General features: G+C 54.1%; 2 protein-coding genes and 1 non-coding gene across 14 annotated transcripts in view, besides 6 other annotated features; 1 reads left to right on the plus strand and 2 right to left on the minus strand.

Annotated features, from left to right (window-relative positions):
- Positions 1-19,138, plus strand: part of PNKD (PNKD metallo-beta-lactamase domain containing) — a 76,275-nt gene that overhangs the window by 3,432 nt on the left and 53,705 nt on the right. The gene's annotated exons all lie outside the window — the stretch shown is intronic.
- On the minus strand, positions 247-18,553 carry TMBIM1 (transmembrane BAX inhibitor motif containing 1). Of its 11 annotated transcripts, none has more exons than NM_001321435.2 (13): positions 18,520-18,553; positions 11,813-11,988; positions 7,990-8,231; positions 6,076-6,176; positions 5,339-5,403; positions 5,088-5,141; positions 4,565-4,615; positions 3,985-4,024; positions 3,683-3,720; positions 3,416-3,503; positions 3,054-3,149; positions 2,076-2,129; positions 247-1,671 (listed from the first exon to the last, which is right to left on the minus strand). In NM_001321435.2, the coding sequence occupies exons 3-13, from the start codon at positions 8,189-8,191 to the stop codon at positions 1,525-1,527; spliced, it is 936 nt and encodes a 311-aa protein (NP_001308364.1). In that variant the 5' UTR covers positions 8,192-8,231; positions 11,813-11,988; positions 18,520-18,553; the 3' UTR covers positions 247-1,524. The 11 variants fall into 11 exon arrangements, 10 of the variants coding, with proteins under 10 accessions (NP_001308364.1, NP_001308362.1, NP_001308365.1 ...); NM_001321433.2 differs by lacking the exon at positions 11,813-11,988 and adding an exon at positions 10,089-10,186 and having other exon boundaries at positions 18,516-18,553; NM_001321436.2 differs by having other exon boundaries at positions 18,516-18,553.
- On the minus strand, positions 6,175-6,238 carry MIR6513 (microRNA 6513). Its single transcript, NR_106768.1, has one exon. It is a non-coding gene; the product is annotated as a microRNA 6513 (primary transcript).
- Positions 11,920-12,728: an enhancer, noted in NCBI's record as "H3K27ac-H3K4me1 hESC enhancer chr2:219150593-219151401 (GRCh37/hg19 assembly coordinates)". NCBI's record gives its function as "activates a minimal SCP1, AML or CMV promoter by ChIP-STARR-seq in naive H9 embryonic stem cells {active_cell/tissue: H9 hESC(naive)}" and the evidence as "EXISTENCE:reporter gene assay evidence [ECO:0000049][PMID:30033119]".
- Positions 12,990-13,369: an enhancer, noted in NCBI's record as "active region_17119". NCBI's record gives its function as "activates an Ori minimal core promoter by ATAC-STARR-seq in GM12878 lymphoblastoid cells {active_cell/tissue: GM12878}" and the evidence as "EXISTENCE:reporter gene assay evidence [ECO:0000049][PMID:35858748]".
- Positions 15,702-16,201: an enhancer, noted in NCBI's record as "H3K27ac hESC enhancer chr2:219154375-219154874 (GRCh37/hg19 assembly coordinates)". NCBI's record gives its function as "activates a minimal SCP1, AML or CMV promoter by ChIP-STARR-seq in naive H9 embryonic stem cells {active_cell/tissue: H9 hESC(naive)}" and the evidence as "EXISTENCE:reporter gene assay evidence [ECO:0000049][PMID:30033119]".
- Positions 17,121-18,085: an enhancer, noted in NCBI's record as "H3K27ac-H3K4me1 hESC enhancer chr2:219155794-219156758 (GRCh37/hg19 assembly coordinates)". NCBI's record gives its function as "activates a minimal SCP1, AML or CMV promoter by ChIP-STARR-seq in naive H9 embryonic stem cells {active_cell/tissue: H9 hESC(naive)}" and the evidence as "EXISTENCE:reporter gene assay evidence [ECO:0000049][PMID:30033119]".
- Positions 18,086-19,048: an enhancer, noted in NCBI's record as "H3K27ac-H3K4me1 hESC enhancer chr2:219156759-219157721 (GRCh37/hg19 assembly coordinates)". NCBI's record gives its function as "activates a minimal SCP1, AML or CMV promoter by ChIP-STARR-seq in naive H9 embryonic stem cells {active_cell/tissue: H9 hESC(naive)}" and the evidence as "EXISTENCE:reporter gene assay evidence [ECO:0000049][PMID:30033119]".
- Positions 18,331-18,810: a silencer, noted in NCBI's record as "silent region_12313". NCBI's record gives its function as "represses an Ori minimal core promoter by ATAC-STARR-seq in GM12878 lymphoblastoid cells {active_cell/tissue: GM12878}" and the evidence as "EXISTENCE:reporter gene assay evidence [ECO:0000049][PMID:35858748]".

The raw sequence follows: 19,138 nt of genomic DNA on the forward strand, positions 1-19,138 counted from the left end.
AAAAGGTCAAGCACTACAGCCAAGAGGTCTCTTCCATATCCAGTGATCCAGTGTGATAGGGTTGAGCTCTCCCTTTCCCCACCCAACTCCTGAGCCTTCACTAGTCTATTGCATCCGTCCCCGGAAACTGCTGCAGTAAAGTGTATTTGATTACCTTGGAAAAGGTGGGACAGCCCAAGCCAGAATGCAGAAGGAAGAAGTGGATACTTTGGGCAGAGCCACACATACTCCTGGAGCCATACAGGGTTTTAACTTCTAGACATAAACTTTATTACATTTATAGTTGTATCCCTTTGTGTGATATAGTTAGGATTTCTCTATTAAGTAATTAATCCTAACTATATCCTTGGGCTGATTTGATTTCTGCCCCCACCCGACAGACTGACCCTTGTCCCCCTTCCCCATTCCAGCTCAAGGCACTTAATATTACAAAGAAGGCAGTGGCTGGCTGGAGAGATGGGCCTCAAGTCAGAAATCCCCCAGTGCAACTTAAGACAAACAGAGAGAAGTCACCTTCCTCTTAGGACCCTCCCTGGGTTAGCAGAAGGAAAGAACCCAGAAGTCTTCAGTACCACAGTAGGCTTCGGTATCTCCCTAGCCAGGTGAGGGACCCCCAGGCATTCTCCCTGCCCGCACCGAGTCTCTCTTCACCCTGGCTACTTCCTGGCCACACGTATGACTCTGCCCCTTACTTTCTGCTCTGAGCTGCCTGAATACAGGAAGCAAGAGTTCACTCTGACCAGAGATCCAGAAGCCTGCAAGGAGGCCCCAGCAGCTTTCAAGAATGGGGAGCAGATGGCCACATGTGGCCTGCTCTGTCTTATAGCGTCACAAGCCAGGAGCAAGCCCAGGGGAGATGCTGTTCCATGCTGGCCTGTATAGGTTACTTTGCTCGTTCTGTTATCTGTCCCCCATCCCTAACCCAGATAAACAATACATATGTCACTGAAACAAGAAGGGATTGAAGCAAGGAGACCCATGGGCACAGATCTCTTCTACCTTCCTGAGCTAAAAGATGCCAAGCCAAAGGAATACAGGATAATGGCCTATGTGTCCAGGAGGCCGGGGACAAAGCTCTCTGGCTTTGCTGGGGGAAGAAATAGCTCCAACTACGTAGTCAAGAAGCCTGTGACAGAGGTGGGAGGGGAACCTCGTGACCTTGAAGTCACTTCTACCTTTCATATTCCCTTCTAGCTATCGAATAGGCTCTTTTCATATTCCTCACAACCCCAGCTGTTAGGAAGAATGTGGTGTCATACAGTAGGTGGCGGGGAGAAGACACATCTTCAGCCTAGTCCCTGCCAAGCCCACCAAGAGCAACAGTTAGTCCCTAGCTCCTCCGTCCCCACCAAGTACCCACACATCCATAGCCAGAGAGGCCACCTGTCTCCAGGACAGAAAGGAAACTGGGCATGTTACTCAAGGGGAAGGAAAGGGGCCTAAAGCCCAGACCACAGTCATAGGGCCCAGCCCTCTAGCTTGGAAGGGAGAGCCCAGGATCGGGTGAAAATGGGGGCTTGCTCCTTAATTGCGATCCCCCATCAGCTGCAGCACAAAGGTGAAGATGTAGATGATGTCTGTGTAAATCTGCAGGGCGCCAGTGATGTAGTCCTCGGGGCTGATGGTGTGCTTCCGGTTCCCCAGGACCAGCTGTGTGTCGTAAGCCAGGAACTGCAAGGATAGGGAAGCCAGAAGTGAGAACTCAGGCATCAGTGTCCAGAGCTCATTTTTGGTCAGCAGATTTGTCTTGGGGGCCTATGCGCCACACAGTGCTTAGGGCCACATTAACGCACAGCATAACATATGGGCTCTATACTGTAGCTGCTCACAGTCTAGGAAAGGAGGCAGACACACCGTTCTCAATATGGCTGACTAGTGTTCTAATAGCAGGCAGCTTGAACAAGAGATGGCAAGAGTGCCCACAAAAATCAATGGAATCTCTGGACAGTAGTGAGAGGAATGGCCTGCTATGGCCCCATTCCCTGCCTCCCAGGCAGTCTAAATTCATGCCCCCTTCCCTAGATTCCTCCCCTCATCCCCTCAGCTCCCCTTCCTAGAGTGGGGCTGGGACTTACCAGGGTGAAACAAATGGCCCCCAGAGCAGCATAGAGCATGTGGAGCCAGTAAACCTGGAGAAGAAGGGGACAGAGAATGGCATTAGAAACCTCAGCAAACCACAGGCCCACAGGCCCCAGCTTCCCCCGGGATAGTGGCATGAGAGTGGGTAGAGCTGGGAAGCTAGCTCTCCATGAAAGGCTACTGCCTTTCCAGATCTTGGAGGAAATTAAGACTGGTGATATATCCAGCAGAGAAAGCAGAGGCCATCCTGCAATGGCTGTATAAAACCAATCTCCAAAGCCAGTCAAGGTACACAAGTGTCTACTATACTTCTAGAAAAAAAGCAGTTGAGTTACAGCTCTGAAAGGGGCAGACCCAGCATTCAATAGACCAGTTCCTACAGCCCAGCCTGGGAGGGGTAGACTAAGGAAGAAGGGAGGCCCCCCAACCCCTCTGGTGAGTATCAAAATCCGGGAGCACCCACAGGACAGCCCACATGACATGCCCACAGGTGGCCGTCCACAGAAGGACAGAGCTGGCCCATGGGCAGGCAGCCCTCGTGTCCCCATCCTTCCCCTTCGGCACTGTTCTCCCCCAGCTGAACAGAATAAAGGAAATAATTGGATCCAGAGACCCCCGCAAGGTCCCTTCCACCTAGGCCCATCATCTCAGTCCTCTGGGTTCCTCTCCCAGTCTGCCTCCGAGAACCTGATTCTCAGCTGCCAGCCAGATTGAACCCACCCCTTCCCCTAGGAGTGCAGTGATGCAGTCCAGGGCTTCAGGTGCTCTGGCTCCAAGGCCGCCCATCTCCACACAGAGAGTCTACCCTCACCCAGAAGGATGCTGCCTCCACGTTGGTGCCTTTGCTAGCCAGTCGAGAGGTTCTGGAGGTCAGAGCCTGCCCCGGGGACCTTTGGGGCCTGCGAGACCATGCTATATAGGAAGTCTGCCCTGAGCACTGGGTTCCCTGACCCCAGCTCTCCTGGGACACTCACGTATTGGAAGTAGAGCACAATGCTAGTGACAATCCCAGTCACCAGGAGCACAATTCCCAGGACACAGAAGAGGCCTGTGCACGAGGTGAAGTCCACCTGCCAGGAAGCAAGAAAGAGGCACCTGTCAGATGGCTGTGACAACCAGCCCAGTCAGACTGGCCCTGCCAGGGAGTCCCAGTGCTGCCTCCTAGGGGGTATGGGAATGTCCACAACATTCTAAGGACAGAAACAGGACACAGTTTTGTAGGTGCGGATGAGGAGAAGGGGATCAGGTCTCTAGGGAACATCCCTAGTGTGCCGGGGTCCGGGCCTGATAAGAAAGGGGAGTCGGGGGGCCAGGGAAGGGCCCTCCATGCCCTCACCTTGGTCTGAAAGCAGAAGATGGTGACTGAAATGGATACCACCGCAGTGATGATCATTGCAATGATGACGGCTTTGGTTTGGTACATACTGGGGAGAAGCAGGAGTTACAGACAAGAGGCATTAAGCCACGTATGAATGACTTCAAAATCACCACTTCCAGAGGGGACCTGCCCAGAATCCACCCACGCAGCTGGCTGCCGGCCCAGGAACACCCCACTCCCCACAATACACATTTCCCAAGAGTGGTGCTTTATCCCTGAATGTACCTGGAAATGGTGCCCGTCATGAAGCCCATGGCAAAAGTCTAAGGGAAGGAGAGAGACAAGAATGAAACACTTAAAAAGGAAGGAAGGCAGGGTGCTGGGGGAGTGGCCATGGTGGCCTCTGCCAGAGCTGGGGAACGCCACCAAGTTGGAAAGAGGCAGCCACAGAGGAGATCAGAACAGGCGGCCCAGATAAGGTGGAGGAGACAGCCAGGACATCCTTCTGAAATGGGTCCCCATCCCTTCCCTGGGAGCAGTCTCCCTCACAGCATCTCCACACCCTCCTGCCACCCTTCTAGACTTACAAAAAGGGTCAGCAGAATGATGTTCCATGGGAAACGGCGTCTGAAGGGAAAGAGAAGCCTTGATTAAATGACTTGGGGCCCCTCAGGCGTCAGAGGCTCCTACAGCAGAAGGAAGCGCTTGGCTCCTGTGCCTGGAGGATTAAGCCTTGACTCCAAGGAGGGAGGTTGGCATGGCCTTTGGCACCTGTTCAGGTGTGGTACGCAGGGACAACATGGGCCAATGAGACAGACCTGTGTTGTGGCGCCAGAAACACCTGGATTGGTTTGCAACTCTTAAACTGACTGCCTGTGTGATGGGGAGAAAGTTACTCAGCCTCTTTGAGCCTCGGGTTCTTCCTATTTGTTAACTGGCTAAAATGCTACCTGTCTTGCAGGGTTACTATAAGAGTGACAGCTAGTTAGCTCCTAAACACACATGGTCCTTTGTATACACCTGAACAGTAGCTGTCATCGTCATCCTCCTCCTCATTTCTTGTAAGTTTCCATTCAGCTGCTATAAAGGAATCCTTCTTTCCAAAATACTCGGCCCCCATCCCAATCCCTGTCACCCCTCTCACTGTGTTAAGTCTCTGGGACTCACCTGGGTCCCTGGCAGCAGGCAAGGATCAGGTAGGTGACAACGAAGACAGCACTAGGGACAAAGAGATGGGGAAGCAGTTCAGGCCCAAATCTGCCCCGCTTGGCAGCACACACCAGGCCAGTGATTTGGGGCCCAAATAGCCGTTTGGAAGTCTGAGGGGAAGCAACTCAACAGGAAGCAAGAACGAGATTACCCCCAGCCAGGGTCACTGAGATGCTCTGAAGCACCAGGCTCCGGCCAGGAAGGAGGTCTGGGGAGGCTGCAGCTGACGGGCTGAGAGGACATGGGGGCTGCAGCGCAGCGTGCACGCCACCACCAGCAGGTCCCACTCTTGCTCTCGAGTTCTAGGGGTCTGCTACTCATCTGGGCACGCACACCCACACCCTCTGGCACGGGAAACTGGCACCAACTTGGGGGCCCTCTCAAAAAGCATTTTGATCCTGCCCTGAGCAAAGCTGGTCACCTAGAAACAGAAGCTGCCACCCCTGCCTCCCTGCCCAACCACAGAGGAGCACACACTCACTAGGACACGTAGTAGACAGCCACATTTCTCCTCACAAAGGCGCTGACAGGTTCCCTGTGGGGCACAGGAGGACAGGAGTAGTCACCCTGAGGCTTGTCTGCCCCACCCAGGCCAGCCAGGCAGCCCTGGCTTCACCTTCTCTAATTGCCCATGGTCACCCTGAGAGCAGGGCCCACCGCCACCCACACCCCCAGCAGGTGACCCTGAACCCCCAGGGCAGTAGGAGTGGGTGGCAAAGCCTAGAGACTTACACAAAGGTGAAGATAGCAATGATGGCCACAGTGATGAGCAGCTGCACGGAGATGATGGAGTAAACCTGGACACAGACGGCCGGGCATGGGTCACCATCCGGCACCCCTGGCCTGCCCCAGGAAGCTGCCAGCCCCCAGTACTTTCCTCCCACTCAAGAACCCTCCCTAGCTGCAGCCTGGCCCAGAGGCGACCCCAGTGAGATGCCTGGCTCAGAGGCAATGTGCACTTCTTCCTCAGCCCCGCTCCCATGCTCCCTGCCATCTCCCCTCCTGTCCAACACCAGCCTCGGTGACTACTGACTTGCCCTGCCTGGCCACCATACTCTACCAGTATGGCCTCTGCACTCCCAGCAGCTCAGTCTGCACGCTCTATGCAGCTGTGAGATGGAGAGGGTGGGTTACAAGCGAGTAGGATCATTTCTGGCTCCAAGCTGCCTATAGTCTAAAGGGAGAAAGATGTCTGGGGAAGGCGGGCGCTGTGGCAGAACCCACCTAGGAGATTCTCCCAGACTGAATGTGTCCTCCCAAAACATGGTCAAGAAGAGAGGTGCAAAAAGAGAGGGAACCCTGGGGTTAGAGAAGCCAGGTGCCCCTCTGAGAAGCAGACAAGGCTAGAGAAGACAGGCAGCCAGTGTATTTCATGGAATTGATGCCCTGGGGCTACTGTGGCCTACCCACTTCCCATTCCCACAGCCTGAGGGGCCCCAGGTACACCCACCTCCCAGCGCGTATCTTACCTTTCGGATAAAAGTGTGTCGCACTTTCCGGTCATCCCACTCTCCAGGCCCGAAGCTATCACTCACTGCTCTCTCCTCCCCATCATAGCCATGGCCTGGGCCTAGGGACAGATGACACTTGACTCAGCTGGGGACCTGAGACATGTGGCGTCAATCCCAAAGCCTCCCTGACAATCTCAAAGTCTCAGGGATCTCCAGCCAAAAGACAAGTGTTATAACAGGAACTCTTCTCCCAAGCTGGGGTCTTCTAGACACCCTCAGAGTGACCCAGAGCCGGCCTGTCACGAGGGGGCTTAGGTGGGAAACGTTCCTCACGTGCATCTGTGGAGGGCTCCTGTGTGCCCAGCCCACGCCACTGGGGGTTCACTGGGGGGTCACGATGTAGTGGGGAAGCCAGGCAGGAGCAGGTATGGGCATCCACTGGGGCAGCCAGCCAGGGCAGAACAGGGGATGGGGACAGAGGGTAGGAGAAAAGGAGGGCGGCAGAGCGCAGTTTGTGCAGCAGCAGGGATAGAGGTGAAGACAGGGATCTGCATCAGCCTCACAGAGGCAGGTGTGCAAAGGGTGTGCGTGACTGTGCAGGACCCATGCGCAGATCCGCACCAGCGCACATGTCCAGGTGAGAGCTGGCTGACACCCCTCTGGGGTTCAGAGATGCTGCAGGGCTGCAAACATTCCCTGAATGCCTGAATGCCTGAATGCCTCTTTGGGAACTACTTTTAAAATCCACGCTTGAGCCACCCAGGAAGACTCACTGCACTCTAACTTCACCTCATTTCCTTTTTTTTTTTTTTTTTTTTTTTGAGATGGAGTTTCGGTCTTGTTGCCCAAGCTGGAGTGCAAAGGCGTGATCTCGGCTCACCGCAACCTCCACCTCCCGGGTTCAAGCAATTCTCCTGCCTTAGCCTCCTGAGTAGCTGGGATTACAGACGCATGCCACCACGCCCGGCTCATTTTTTGTATTTTTGGTAGAGACAGGGTTTCACCATGTTGGCCAGGCTGGTCTCAAACTCGTGATCCGCCCATCTCAGCCTCCCAAAGTGTTGAGATTACAGGCATGAGCCACCGTACCCGGCCTCTTTTTTTGTTTTGTTTTGTTTTTTGTTTTTTTTTTGGTTTTTTTTTTGAGACAGAGTCTTGCTCTGTTGCTCAGGCTGAAGTGCAGTAGTGCGATCCTGGCTCACTGCAACCTCCACCTCCTGGGATTGCAAGCGATTCTCCTGCCTCAGCCTCCTGAGTAGCTGGGATTACAGGTGCACGCCACCACACCCGGCTAAGTTTTTGTATTTTTAGTGGAGATGGGGTTTTGCCATGTTGGCCAGGCTGGTCTCGAATTCCTGACCTCAGGTGATCTGCTCGCCTCAGCCTCCCAGAGTGCTGGGATTACAGGCGTGAGCCACCGCGGCCGGCCTCACCTCATTTCTGACCAAACACAAGCATGTCCCTGCCATGATGTTTACCAAACTTGGCTCCAAATGTCTTTTGCAAAAGTCAGATTTCACTTTAAAGGATGAGGAAAGTGGTTCAGGTTCCCAAAGGAGTTCCTAAGGAAGTCGACAGGTCTGGGAGGTGGCAGCAGCTTGTTGGCCGCTTGTTGGGAAACAGAGCTGGTGCCCTGAGGTAACCCCTCAGGAGTCATTACTTGGCCCAGCCCCATTCTCCTGTGGTGTGTACGTTCTGGGACATGCCTCATGGATCTCCTTGAACAAAGGGGGCAGCAAGTGGCTGGGGGCCAGTTGCTGAGGCAAAAAGTGGAGGGTAACAAAGACAGAAACAGAGGGAGAGATCTCAACAGAGAAGATGAGAAAGGGATTTAAGGGAAACTAGAAGAGAAAAGGGGCAGGAGGCGGTGGCCTCATCTGCTCCAAGTGCTGTCCCTCCCACCCACCTTCCATCTGCCCTTCCAGGACTCACCGTAGTTCATGGGCATCGGGTGGGTGGGGGGCATGGGCTGTGGGTAGCCAGCAGGGTGACCGTAGCCAGGCTGCGGGTAGCCAGGGTAGGCAGGATACCCTCCTGGCAGGACAGATGGCTGCCCATAGCCCCCAGGGGGCGGAGGGCCTGGGTACAGGGGGTTGCGGTCTTCATATGGTGGTGGGGCGCTGGGGTTGGACATGGCTGCTCACGGGCTGAGGGGGAACCCCAGCTGCTGGGACCTGAAATGGGAGAGGAGAAAAGCAATCGTGAATGCCCAGGCCCAGCTCACTCAGCCTCATGGGCCCACTTCCAGCCTTGTCCAGGCTGCCTCCGTGGAGAGGAACACCACCTATTTTCTCCTTAGAGGGCAGCGTGTGATTTGCTGTCCACAGGCCACCTCCCCACCAACTGGGCTCCTGTCCCTCCTGCCTTTGCGCCTGCTTCTTGTCCACAGGCCTCTCACTGTGCAGCTCCCCAGCCATAGGAAAGCAGGAGGAAGGATTCGCTGAGGAGAGAGGGAACCAGGGAGCCTGGGAACTCCCTGTTGTGGTTTAAGAAAACCTTCCAGTTTTGGTGGCTTGATGGCAGAACCAGCGAAGAAGCCAGATGGGCCAGGCACAGCCTCCTGGCGACTCACAGGGCCAGCTGGGACCCTCTGAAAGGGTCAGCTCTGCCCCTGCCACAGCTGACGGGGATGCCAGGCCTGGAAGCCAGAGCTGGGTTGGAGCCAAGGCTCAAAGTGGAGAGCCGGGGGAAGAAGTGGAGGAAAACAAGCTAGCCCCAGTGCCAGAGCTGCCAGGCCCCGAGGAGGAAGGGATCCAGGGACCCGGGGGCCAGTGGCAGGCTGAGTCAGGAAGCCTGAGAAGCAGGAGTGGGTGGTACAGGGGCTGGGGGCAGGGAGGCTGTGCCAAAGGGCCAGCTTGAGACAGGACTTTCTGGTTCCTTCAAATAACAGCGGTGGCGTGTCAGAAAGGCATGCGGCAGCCTGCGACCACAGCTGCTCTCTGGCCTTGCTAGGGAAGAGAGAGTGAGTGCACGGCCCCTCGCCCTCCCCCTTACCCCCACCCTGGAGGGGGAGACAGATGTTCTGAATCCCAGGCTCTCTGTGAGTTCTACCTGTCTTCCAGGTGCAGTGCTAGCAGGGAGGACAAAGAGCTGAGGAGTCAGGCCACAAGGTCAAGGGAATGCCTTCCCTGCAGCAGGAAGAGCCCCATAGCCAGGGGAGGGCCAAGAAACCAGGGGGAGGGAACCCCAAACTGGAGTTGGAAGGGACCTCAGGGCCATAAGCCCCAAATGCTCACTTCAGATGAGAGAATGCAGGCCCTGAACAGGGAAGTGATTCCCCAGAACCCCAGAACTCGCAGGTCAGTGGCATAACCAGGACGGAGGCCTTCCAGATCCTGGGTCCAGGTCCTTCATGTTATGCGGTGCTCTTATGCCTCCTCTGCCAGTTACTGTCCTCTGGGCCTGGTGGTCCCCTCTGAGGTAGCAGAGATGCAGGCTTAGGAGGAGCTAAGGAAGCCCCTAGAGGGCCCCTGCATCCCCAGTAAGGACAAGCCCTGGCAGTCTGGGCTCGACAGGGCCACCACCTCTTCTAGAGCATCTACAGGGGGCTTTAGGATCCCCAAGGAGGACACCCCCAGATGCAGGTCAGCAGACACCAGAGGCTCTCAGAGGCTCTGCTGGAAGCAAGAGAGACCAGCGTCTCTTTTTAGGGCACATTGCATAGTTCGGGGATCAAATAAAGGACTGTCTTATCTCTTCTCTTTTATGACAACTGGGATAATTCAGAGAGGGGAAGGTGGCAGGGAGGGTTGAGGAGGGGGAATTGAATAAAAGTCCAGGTCTCTAAGTGGGTTATTTTGAGGAAAGCTGTTCTTCATCTCCCTAGAGGGGCTGGGATAGAACCAGGGCAAGAATGTCAGGTCAGAAATACAAAGCTGGCAGGGTGCGGTAACTCACGCCTGTAATCCCAGCACTTTAGAAGACTGAAGTGGGCAGATCATGAGGTCAGGAGTTCGAGACCAGCCTGGCCAACATAGTGAAAACCTGCTCTACTAAAAATGCAAAAATTAGCCAGGCATGGTGGCATGTACCTGTAGTCCCAGTTACTCAGGAGGCCGAGGCAGGAGAATCACTTGAACCTGGGAGGCAGAGGTTGTGGTGAGCTGAGATCGCGCCACCGTACTCCAGCCTGGGCAACAGAGTGAGACTCCATCTCAAAAGAAAAAAAAAAAAAAGCACTGGCCGGAAAGGCTCTGTGGGCAGAAACCCCAACCGTGATGTCACCATGACGTGTCCCAGCACCTCCTCAGGGTGCACCTCTGTGAAATAAGGTGGGGGCGACACGACCTCTAAGCCCACTGCCCCCTCTAACAACAGACTATGATTCTGGGAACTCGGCTCTGCAGGGCCTGACCTTTGCTCGGCCAGAGAGCTGCCCCTGCTCCCTCCTCTGAGCCAAGCAGGGCAAACAGCTAACTTTCCAGACCAAGGGACTGTGGCAGCCACCGGGTGAAAGGTGCCTCAGAGAGAAGGGTCAGCCTCGGATGGGCCACGGGGACTCCAAGGTTCTGGTGCAGCTCAGCGGGTGCTGACTCAGAGCTTCACTCCTGCCTCTCTTGCCCCTCCCTTTCAGGCTTTTGGTTTCAGAAGCATGTGCTAGTAGGCCTGCCTGCACTGCACACAGCAGTTTCCAGGCCAGTCCTTCGGGTACCTCAGCCACCAGCCCATCCACACCAGAAACTACCATGACCATTTCAACTCACTATGCCTCAGTTTCTTCACCTGGAAAATGGGTCTCACACTAGTAATAGTACCCTCCACGGGGTTGCTATAAAAATTAAGTGAGAAAATACACATAGAAGGCTGGGCACAGTGGCTCACGCCTGTAATCTCAACACTTTGAGAGGCCGAGGCAGGTGGATCACCTGAGATCAGGAGTTCGAGACCAGCCTGGCCAAATGGTGAAACCCCGTCTCTACTAAAAATATAAAAATTAGCTGGGCATGGCAGCAGGCGCCTAGAATCCCAGTTACTCGGGAGGCTGAGGCAGGAGAATCGATTCAACCTGGGAGGCGGAGATTCCAGTGAGCCACAATCGTGCCACTGCACTCCAGCCTGGGTGACAGAGTGAGACTTTGTCTCGAAGAAAATAAAAAAGAAAATACACATAAAGTGCTTAGAATGAAACCCGACCCCTGATCAATGGGGATAAAGGTTGGTTATTTTCATTAAATCCTTACAACAGTCCAGCAAGTTAATACTGTTATTATTATTCCCATTTACAAATGAAGAGATTGAGGCACAGAAGAATTAAATCACTTGGCCAAGATAACCTAGCTAGAGTGTGATGAAGTCAAAATGAGCCCCAAGACTGACTCCCAAGCCCCTGCTCTTAATCCCTAACCTGAAAACACCCTGTCTATCCAACCTTCTCATCACTTCTGCCATAGCTTCCATCTAAAACCCTCTCATGGGTTTTAGCCTCAACAGGAGGCTGACACAAGTGGAAGCCAAACTACTCAGGCCCTCCACACCACCACAGGGCTCACAGCCTGGCCAACGGCCCCAGGAGAAGAGGGTGGCCCAGGCTTGGAGATACATAAAGGTCAGAGCTGGAAAGAAACTCACCCAAGGACAGCCAACCCCTCACTTTACCAACTAGACAGCCACAGCACAGGAACCTGTCCTTGGTTACCGAGCTGGTCCTGGGGACAGGACGAGATCCTAGCTGTCTACATAGAGAGACCTGGGCACAGGAGAGGAAACCCCAGCATTAACGCTAGCCAGGGGAGTTGCTAAACTCAGCCACACTCACCTCTGAGCAGTGCCAAGAACACTGTCAGACTGGCAAGAGCCTCCGGGGACCAGGGCTGCCGGGTTTGGCAGCTTTAGAGCCTGCTCTTGGGCTTCTGCCCAGCCTCCATGAGGGCCCTGGCCACTTCCACATCAGCAAGGCCTCCACTAGGGATGAGGTTTGGGGCTGGCATCTGCCTAGGTAGCAGCAAAGGGGGAAAGGGTCAGTGTTTACTTTCGTAGCTATGTCTAAGGGTGGAGGCTAGAGAAGAATGGAGGGTAAGGGAAGGAGGGAGAAGGGGAGAGAGATCACGAGACTGACACAGAGTGAGGACTAGAAATCAGATCTGGGTTCTGCCAGCAGCTACTAGAGGGGCTCACAGTCTGCAGGGACTTTAAGGTCCCCACTGGAAGCCTGAATTTTCCCAAAATACAGTAGGCATTCACCTTCTGCTTGTTTTTGTTTTTCTTTTTGTTTTGGTAGAAACGGGGTTTCACCATGTTGGCCAGGCTGGCAAACTCCTGGCCTCAAGTGATCCACCCACCGAGGCCTCCCAAAGTGCTGGGATTACAGGCATGAGCCACTGTGTCTGGCCCACCTTCTGCTTGAAGGAACTCCAGCAACATGGAGCAAGCCCCTTGTCTGCAGACAGCTCGATTAGAACATTCTTCCTTGCCTCACAATGCCTGTTATCAAGGCATTCAGACTGTGCCCTATCCTTGCCCATTATAGATCTAAGTTTGCTCCTCTCTCAGGGCCCCAGTCCCCCATTAGGAAGGAACCAGAGCCCCTGCTTTCTACCACAGCAGCGGCACAAGTGGGTGAGCTCAGACAGCAGGACTTGCTGGGTGTCAAGGTTTTCAGATGCAGAGGCGGAAGCACCTCCTCCCCTGGAGCCCTCTCAGTGTGGTAATCCTGCTGTCTGCCTACTGAGGCCCCGGCTGGGGCTCTCCTGGGGGTATTTGAAGGGTTAAGGCTCCGGAATCTGCAGAGGAGGCCTGAGCTACTGGGGTTACAGCAAGAGGAGAGTATGTGTACTGGAGGGAGGGATGGAAAGGAGCAGCTGACTGGTCCAGGCAGCCTGCCCTCCTCCCTGCCAGAGACGGATGCCCAGAGTGGAAAAAAATAGCTCAGAATGCACATCTCAGGAAACCCCACCCAGCAGGCGCAGGAGCACAGCCCAGATCTGACGATTTGTTCCCCTCCCTTTTCCTTTATCTGCCCCCACAAGAAAACACTTTATCCTCCTACCCCAGGGCACAGCTGACCTCATAGCCACGAGAGCAAATGAGTAAAAAGATACACCCAGGAGTGTCTGGGCAAGTCACCAGGCCTGATTCTGCACCAAGGGGGCCCAGAATCAACTAAATATCCTTCCATCAGCCTGGACTTTGGGACTAAGAGGATGAAGCCACAGGGATCTAAACACTAAAATATCAGAGCTGGCTTAGACTTTGGATCTCACCTGGTCATTTGACAGACAAGGAAACCCCAGAGCCAAGAAAGTTCCTGCTCCACCCCAGAACAGCCCTCTTCTTCGTCATGGGTTTGGAACTTCCCTTCCCAGCCCCGCCCACTCTCTGAGTGATAGACACCAGCACACACCCTCTCCCAAGGAGGGGCCAGAACAAGCTACCATTCTCTCAGTTCTCTAGTGACCTCTCAGCTCAGAAACAGTTAAGACCGGGCCGGGTGCAGTGGCTCATGCCTGTAATCCCAGCACTTTGGGAGGCCGAGGCAGGTGGATCACGAGGTCAGGAGATCAAGACCATCGTGGCCAACATGGTCAAACCCCATGTCTACTAAAAAATACAAAAAATTAGCTGGGCGTGATATCCCACACCTGAAGTCCCAGCTACTCGGGAGGCTGAGGCAGGGGGATCGCTCGAACCCGAGAGGCAGAGGTTGCAGTGAGCCAAGAACATGCCATTGCACTCCAGCCTGGGCAACAAGAGTGAAACCCCATCTCAAAAAAAAAGACAGCCAGCCCTCGACTTCTGGCCCCCAACTCGAGGCCACCCCTCCCAGCCCCCTCTCTAGCCAGGGTGGCCTCTCTCTGGACCCATGGAGACCGAGGGGTGGCTCCAAGCTCCCAGGAGGGAGAGGCTGTCCTGGGGATCACGAGAGGACCCAGGCACCGCAGCTCCGCCACCCTTGTCTGGAGCAGAATCCTGTGATCAGAATGGTAATCTCGGGTTACCCCACCCAAGTCAGGATGGCCTGGGAGTACAGATAAGGGAAGAGGAAGCCATTAGCAGGCTGATGCTATAATACTTCTGAGCACAGTCCCTGTTCACTTCCTTCTTTGTTTCATCTCCTGTCTTTTCATTGAACTTCAAGATTAGGAGGGGAAAGAGACAGACAAAGGAGACTGATAACTAACCCCAAAAAAGAACTAGGGAAGGGGCCAGGCATGGCGGCTCACGCCTGTAATCCCAGCACTTTGGGAGGCCAAGGCGGGCGGATCACGAGGTCAGGAGATCGAGACCATCCTGGCTAACATGGTGAAACCCCATCTCTACTAAAAAATACAAAAAATTAGCTGGATGTGGTGGCGGACGCCTGTAGTCCCAGCTACTCGGGAGGCTGAGGCAGAAGAATGGCATGAACCCGGGAGGCGGAGCTTGCAGTGAGTCAAAATGGCGCCACTGCACTCCAGCCTGGGCAACAGAGGGAGACTCTGTCTCAAAAAATAAATAAATAAAATAACTAGGGAAGGAAGGGAACCACTTAGAGTAGTTGAACCACTTCCAGTACTTACTATATAACTAAGGAAGTACAGGTTGAATATCCCTCATTTCCAAAATCCAAAATGCTCCACAATCTAAAACATTTTGAGCACCAAGATGACACTCAAAGGAATGCTCACTGGAGCATTTCTGATTTCGGATTTTCAGATTAGGGACGCTCAACCAGTAAGTATAATATACATAGCCCCAAATCCGAAAAAATCCAAAATCCATGTGCTTCTGCCACTGTAGATGTCTGCCCCCATGGCTATCGTGACTATATGCTCGAGTAGGAGAGTAAAGTGTTTTCTTGGGGGTGGAAGGGAGTTGGGGTGGGTAAAAGAAAAGGGAGGGAAGGAAATTGTCAAAATGGTCCCATTTTGGATAAGAGACACTCAACCTATAGTAACTAAGGCACATCTGATCCTTGCAACAGTGCTGTGAGGTATTCTTACCCTCATCCCACTCTATAGATGAGATAACTGAAATTCAGAAAAAAAGAGATCTAGGGTCCCACAGCAGGCAAACAGCAGAGATGAGTTTAAGCATAGATCTCACACCTGATTTAAAATTCAGCCTCTTTGCTTTTATATCAGGCAGGAGTAGAAGCCCCTGAGGCATCTGTAGCACGCACCTGCGTGAATAGGCAGCACCAGGGTGGGGCCAAGGCAGTAAAGATCAAAACGATAGATAGAAAGGAGCTGAGCAAGCTGTTGTTGCTACCATTATTTCTTTCCCCTGCGGAAAGTTGATCTGAAGCCTGGGTCCTGGGCTAGGAGGTGGGGACCTGAAGTTCTTGTCCTGGCTTTGGGACTCACTCCACTGTGAGAGCCACATCTCTAGACCCAGTTTTAACATCAGTAAGACAATTCCCCTCAAATGAAAGAATGGCCAGGCGCGGTGGCTCATGCCTGTAATCCCAGCACTTTGGGAGGCCGAGCCAGGCGGATCACTTGAGGTCAGGTGTTCGAGACCAGCCTGGCCAACATGGTGAAACCTCGTCTCTACTAAAAATACAAAAATTAGCCGGGCATGGTGGCACATGCCTATAATCCCAGCTTCTCGGGAGGCTGAGGCAGGAGAATCACTTGAACCCAGGAGATGTAGGTTGCAGTGAGCCGAGACCATGCCACTGCACTCCAGCCTGGGCGACAGAAAAAAAAAAAAAAAAAAAAACTGAAAGATCAAAGTCCACTCTGCCAGTTTCTGATTCTGAATGAACAGCCTAACAGGAGGCTTCAGGGCAGAATGGCATGGCTCCCCAAGAACCTACACCAGGGGGTCACTACTGATGTGCAACTGTTTCCAAGGACATCTTCAGAGGCAGAAGTACATGGCATGTTCTCAGTATGGGGCTGTCCACACCCTCCCAAACTGTCCCCATAATGCTGTCTGGACCCTACGGCCAGCTCTTCCTGGGTGATCAGTTACGCCCGAGCTAAACAGTATATAACACTCTAGGAAAGAAAGAGTAGGAGGCAGGAAGTCCACTGACCTGGGTTCATGAACTAGCTGCAGGAATCCAGGCAAATGACCTCCCCTGGCCTCCTTTTATCCCTAAATCAGCCCACGTGGGGGAAAGGAGTAGGGACTTGTTTATGGGAGCCACAGTGGAGAAACAGAATCACCTAGCCAGGCATTTCCCAGACTGTTCTAAAGAACACGCCCCAGGAGACGTTAATGAATGAGTGCTGGAAACAGATGACTCTTGAGAAACAATCCACACCCCCTTCTTGGAAATTCACAATGGCATATTCTGCCCCTGAGAAGTCCTGCAGTAAGCAACCCTGTTCAGCTTTGTTTAACCCAGTGTTCCTTCAAACTCCCTTAAGCCTGAGCCACTTTTATCGAGGCAAACCTATTAACACCCTGTGGGATGCTGACCCAGGCCACCTTTGTATTACAGACACCCAACCCTGAGAATCATTCATATCCTAACTCCTCGTCTCTTATAACCTCTGTGCGTACACCCAGCTGCCCCTCAGAGCAGTCACATGAAGTACTAGACATGCCCTCTCACTCTCAGGGGGTCAGCCCAGTGCCAGGATCTCTGGCGAGGGTCCTCCCCTTCCCCCATTCCACACAGCTGCTATCCCACCGTGGGATTTACTGCCAAGGGCCGGGGGACATATCCAGCTACCACAGAACCAGGAAACGGGCACCCCTAACCTCACCTCTGTGCAACGGGGCAAAGCACAAATCATTACAGACAAAAGTGGGAGCTCATTAATATCTCCCTTCCCACCAATGGAGGTACCTGCCACTGTAGCCTGTCGACTTCTGGATATCATTTCTACTTCAAAACAAGACCCAGGTTTTGGCCTAGAATCCCAGAATCTTAGGGTTGGAAGATTCTGTCAAGGTCATCCCTTCCACTGTGTCCCCAACAGAATAGGTCCAGAAGGCCCATGTCATGATCAGACATGTTGTTAGCAGAACTTCTTCCCAGAGAATTGTATGAGCTTCCACTCTCTGGTCGTCCCAGTTCAGCCCTCTGAAAACACACAAGTATGTGTGTTTCCCTTCTCTGTGGCTTCTGCTTTTTCTGAAAGGCCCAGGGTGAGGCCTGCGGTTGGAGGTGCTCTGAGGTAGACAGCGTCTGGCTGAGGCACCCATTCCCAGGGGAGGAGGCTGAGCCCAGGTGGCTATTACCCCAGCTCATGACATGAGGCTCTCCCAACACTTACAGGATAACCCATCATTACCTCTCTGAAGGGCTCATTTTTACAAGTGAGGCCTTGAGGTCATAGCACAGAAAGACAGGGCCCCTGACACTGTGGTCCTGCCTCTTCCATTTAAGCTATAAACTGGTTCTCTGGATCCTCATGACTGGAGAGACAGAGAGAGGAGGCAGGTGAGAAGGAAGTATGGCTCCCCCTTTGCGCCAATAAAGCAGCCCCAGGAGGCACCTGGCTCCCCTGCCACCACTGGCCAGCCCAAAGTCGCCAGCTTGGAAACCAAAGCTCACTAATGAGATGAATATTTCAGAGCCCAGAGAACTGGACACCTGAGGGCCCTTCCATGACATCTGGCTCTGACCTGCGTTCCCAGGCCTACTTATCCCATGTCCAGGGTGCTCAGGTAGAACCCCAAACTCCTGGGTACCACGTAGAGGCCACAGAGGAGGGAGAGGAGATGGAGACCCCATAGGACAAGAATTGGTGCCGACCCCACAAGGCCAGGGCCTGGCCTCCCAGCAGCCTCCCTCTGCTTCCTCCCACTGGTCCCTGGCTCCTGCCCCAGTCTCTCCACTTGCTTTCCCTTTTCCCGTTTCTCTGTTTTGTTTTCACTCTAACCCAAAGAAGTCACGAGGAGGATGTTACTCCCCTGTAGTTCTGTGAACCCAGCCGGGAAACAGTGGCTGGAAGTGGGACTGGCAGAGGGCAAAGTCATGGTGATAGAGGTGGCCACTTCCCCATGCCAAACACTTGAGCTGCTCATTGGCTTCTGCCCCAGCTGCAAGCTAGGACCCCCCCTTCCCCACCCCTTAAATATTCACCTGTCTACACCGAGACTGGCCTCAGCGCGTGTGGGGGCAACCTGGGGTCCGTGCCAGGCCCTGGCTGTCTCCCCTCCCTCTTCCCTCTTCTCACCAGCTGAGGGCCATGAAAGCCCTCATCCCACACAGCTGGCCACTCGGGCTGGCATGGTGGATAGGCCCTGCGACAGAGAGGCCACTCGTGCCCGAAAGAGGGAACACGAGGACACCCCCAGACCCTGGCTCCGCTCACCAGTGCCCACAACACGCTGCTGGGCTCCCAAGGCTAACCAGGTGCCACAGACCCGGCCGCCCACCCGCGCGCCCAGGGAGAGCGAAACGCCAAGGGCCAGGAGGGGAGATCCCCATCTGGAACGGGCTCCTTGGGCCCAGGAGCGGGCAAGCCGGGAGCGCGCTCCGAAAAGTTTAGGCGCCCCGGCGCATGGCCGCCCCAGCCCTGGACCAGTCCCCACCGCCCACAGTCCCCAACGGCGCCGGCCCCGGCCCCCTGGCTTGCCTGCGCCGTTCCAGACGGAGCGTTCCTGGCCTCGGAGTGTTGCAAGTCCTCCGGGGCCGGGCAGGGCTAGGCTCGGCTGGGGCTCCGCGCCCCGCCCCGTCGCGCCGGCCTCGTGGGGCGGGGCCTCAGGGCGCCGCCAGGGGGCGCAGGGGTCTGTCCCGGGCGCGCGCGCCTCTCAGAGCCCCGACGACGCCTCACTAATAACACAGGGGTATTTTCGGATTTAAAGGCAATACATGATACTGATAGGAAGCTAGAAAAGACACAGAAATGCAGGGAAGAAAGTAATTTCTCTCCACCCCTCCTAGTTCCCAGGGGGAAGCGTTCGCTTTGGGTCCTTCTTTGGCTATTACATTTCTGTATGTATTTTGTTTTTCTACAGTGGGGTATATTGTATGGTGTTTTGTTTACTGCCCTTCTTTTTACTGTTTTATGATGAACATTTTTCTTCTCACTAAATAGTCTTCAAAAGCACAATCTTAATGCCGTGAAGTATTCCATTGCATGGCTATGCGGATTAAATTAATTTCCTACTGGAGGCCGTTTGTTTCCCATTTTTACATTACAAATAAATCAGTAATTAAAATCCTTGATAATTCTGTGTTTTTGAGATAAATGCACTT

Source organism: Homo sapiens, chromosome 2 (genome assembly GCF_000001405.40).
Source record: "Homo sapiens chromosome 2, GRCh38.p14 Primary Assembly".
Classification (NCBI taxonomy): domain Eukaryota; kingdom Metazoa; phylum Chordata; class Mammalia; order Primates; family Hominidae; genus Homo; species Homo sapiens.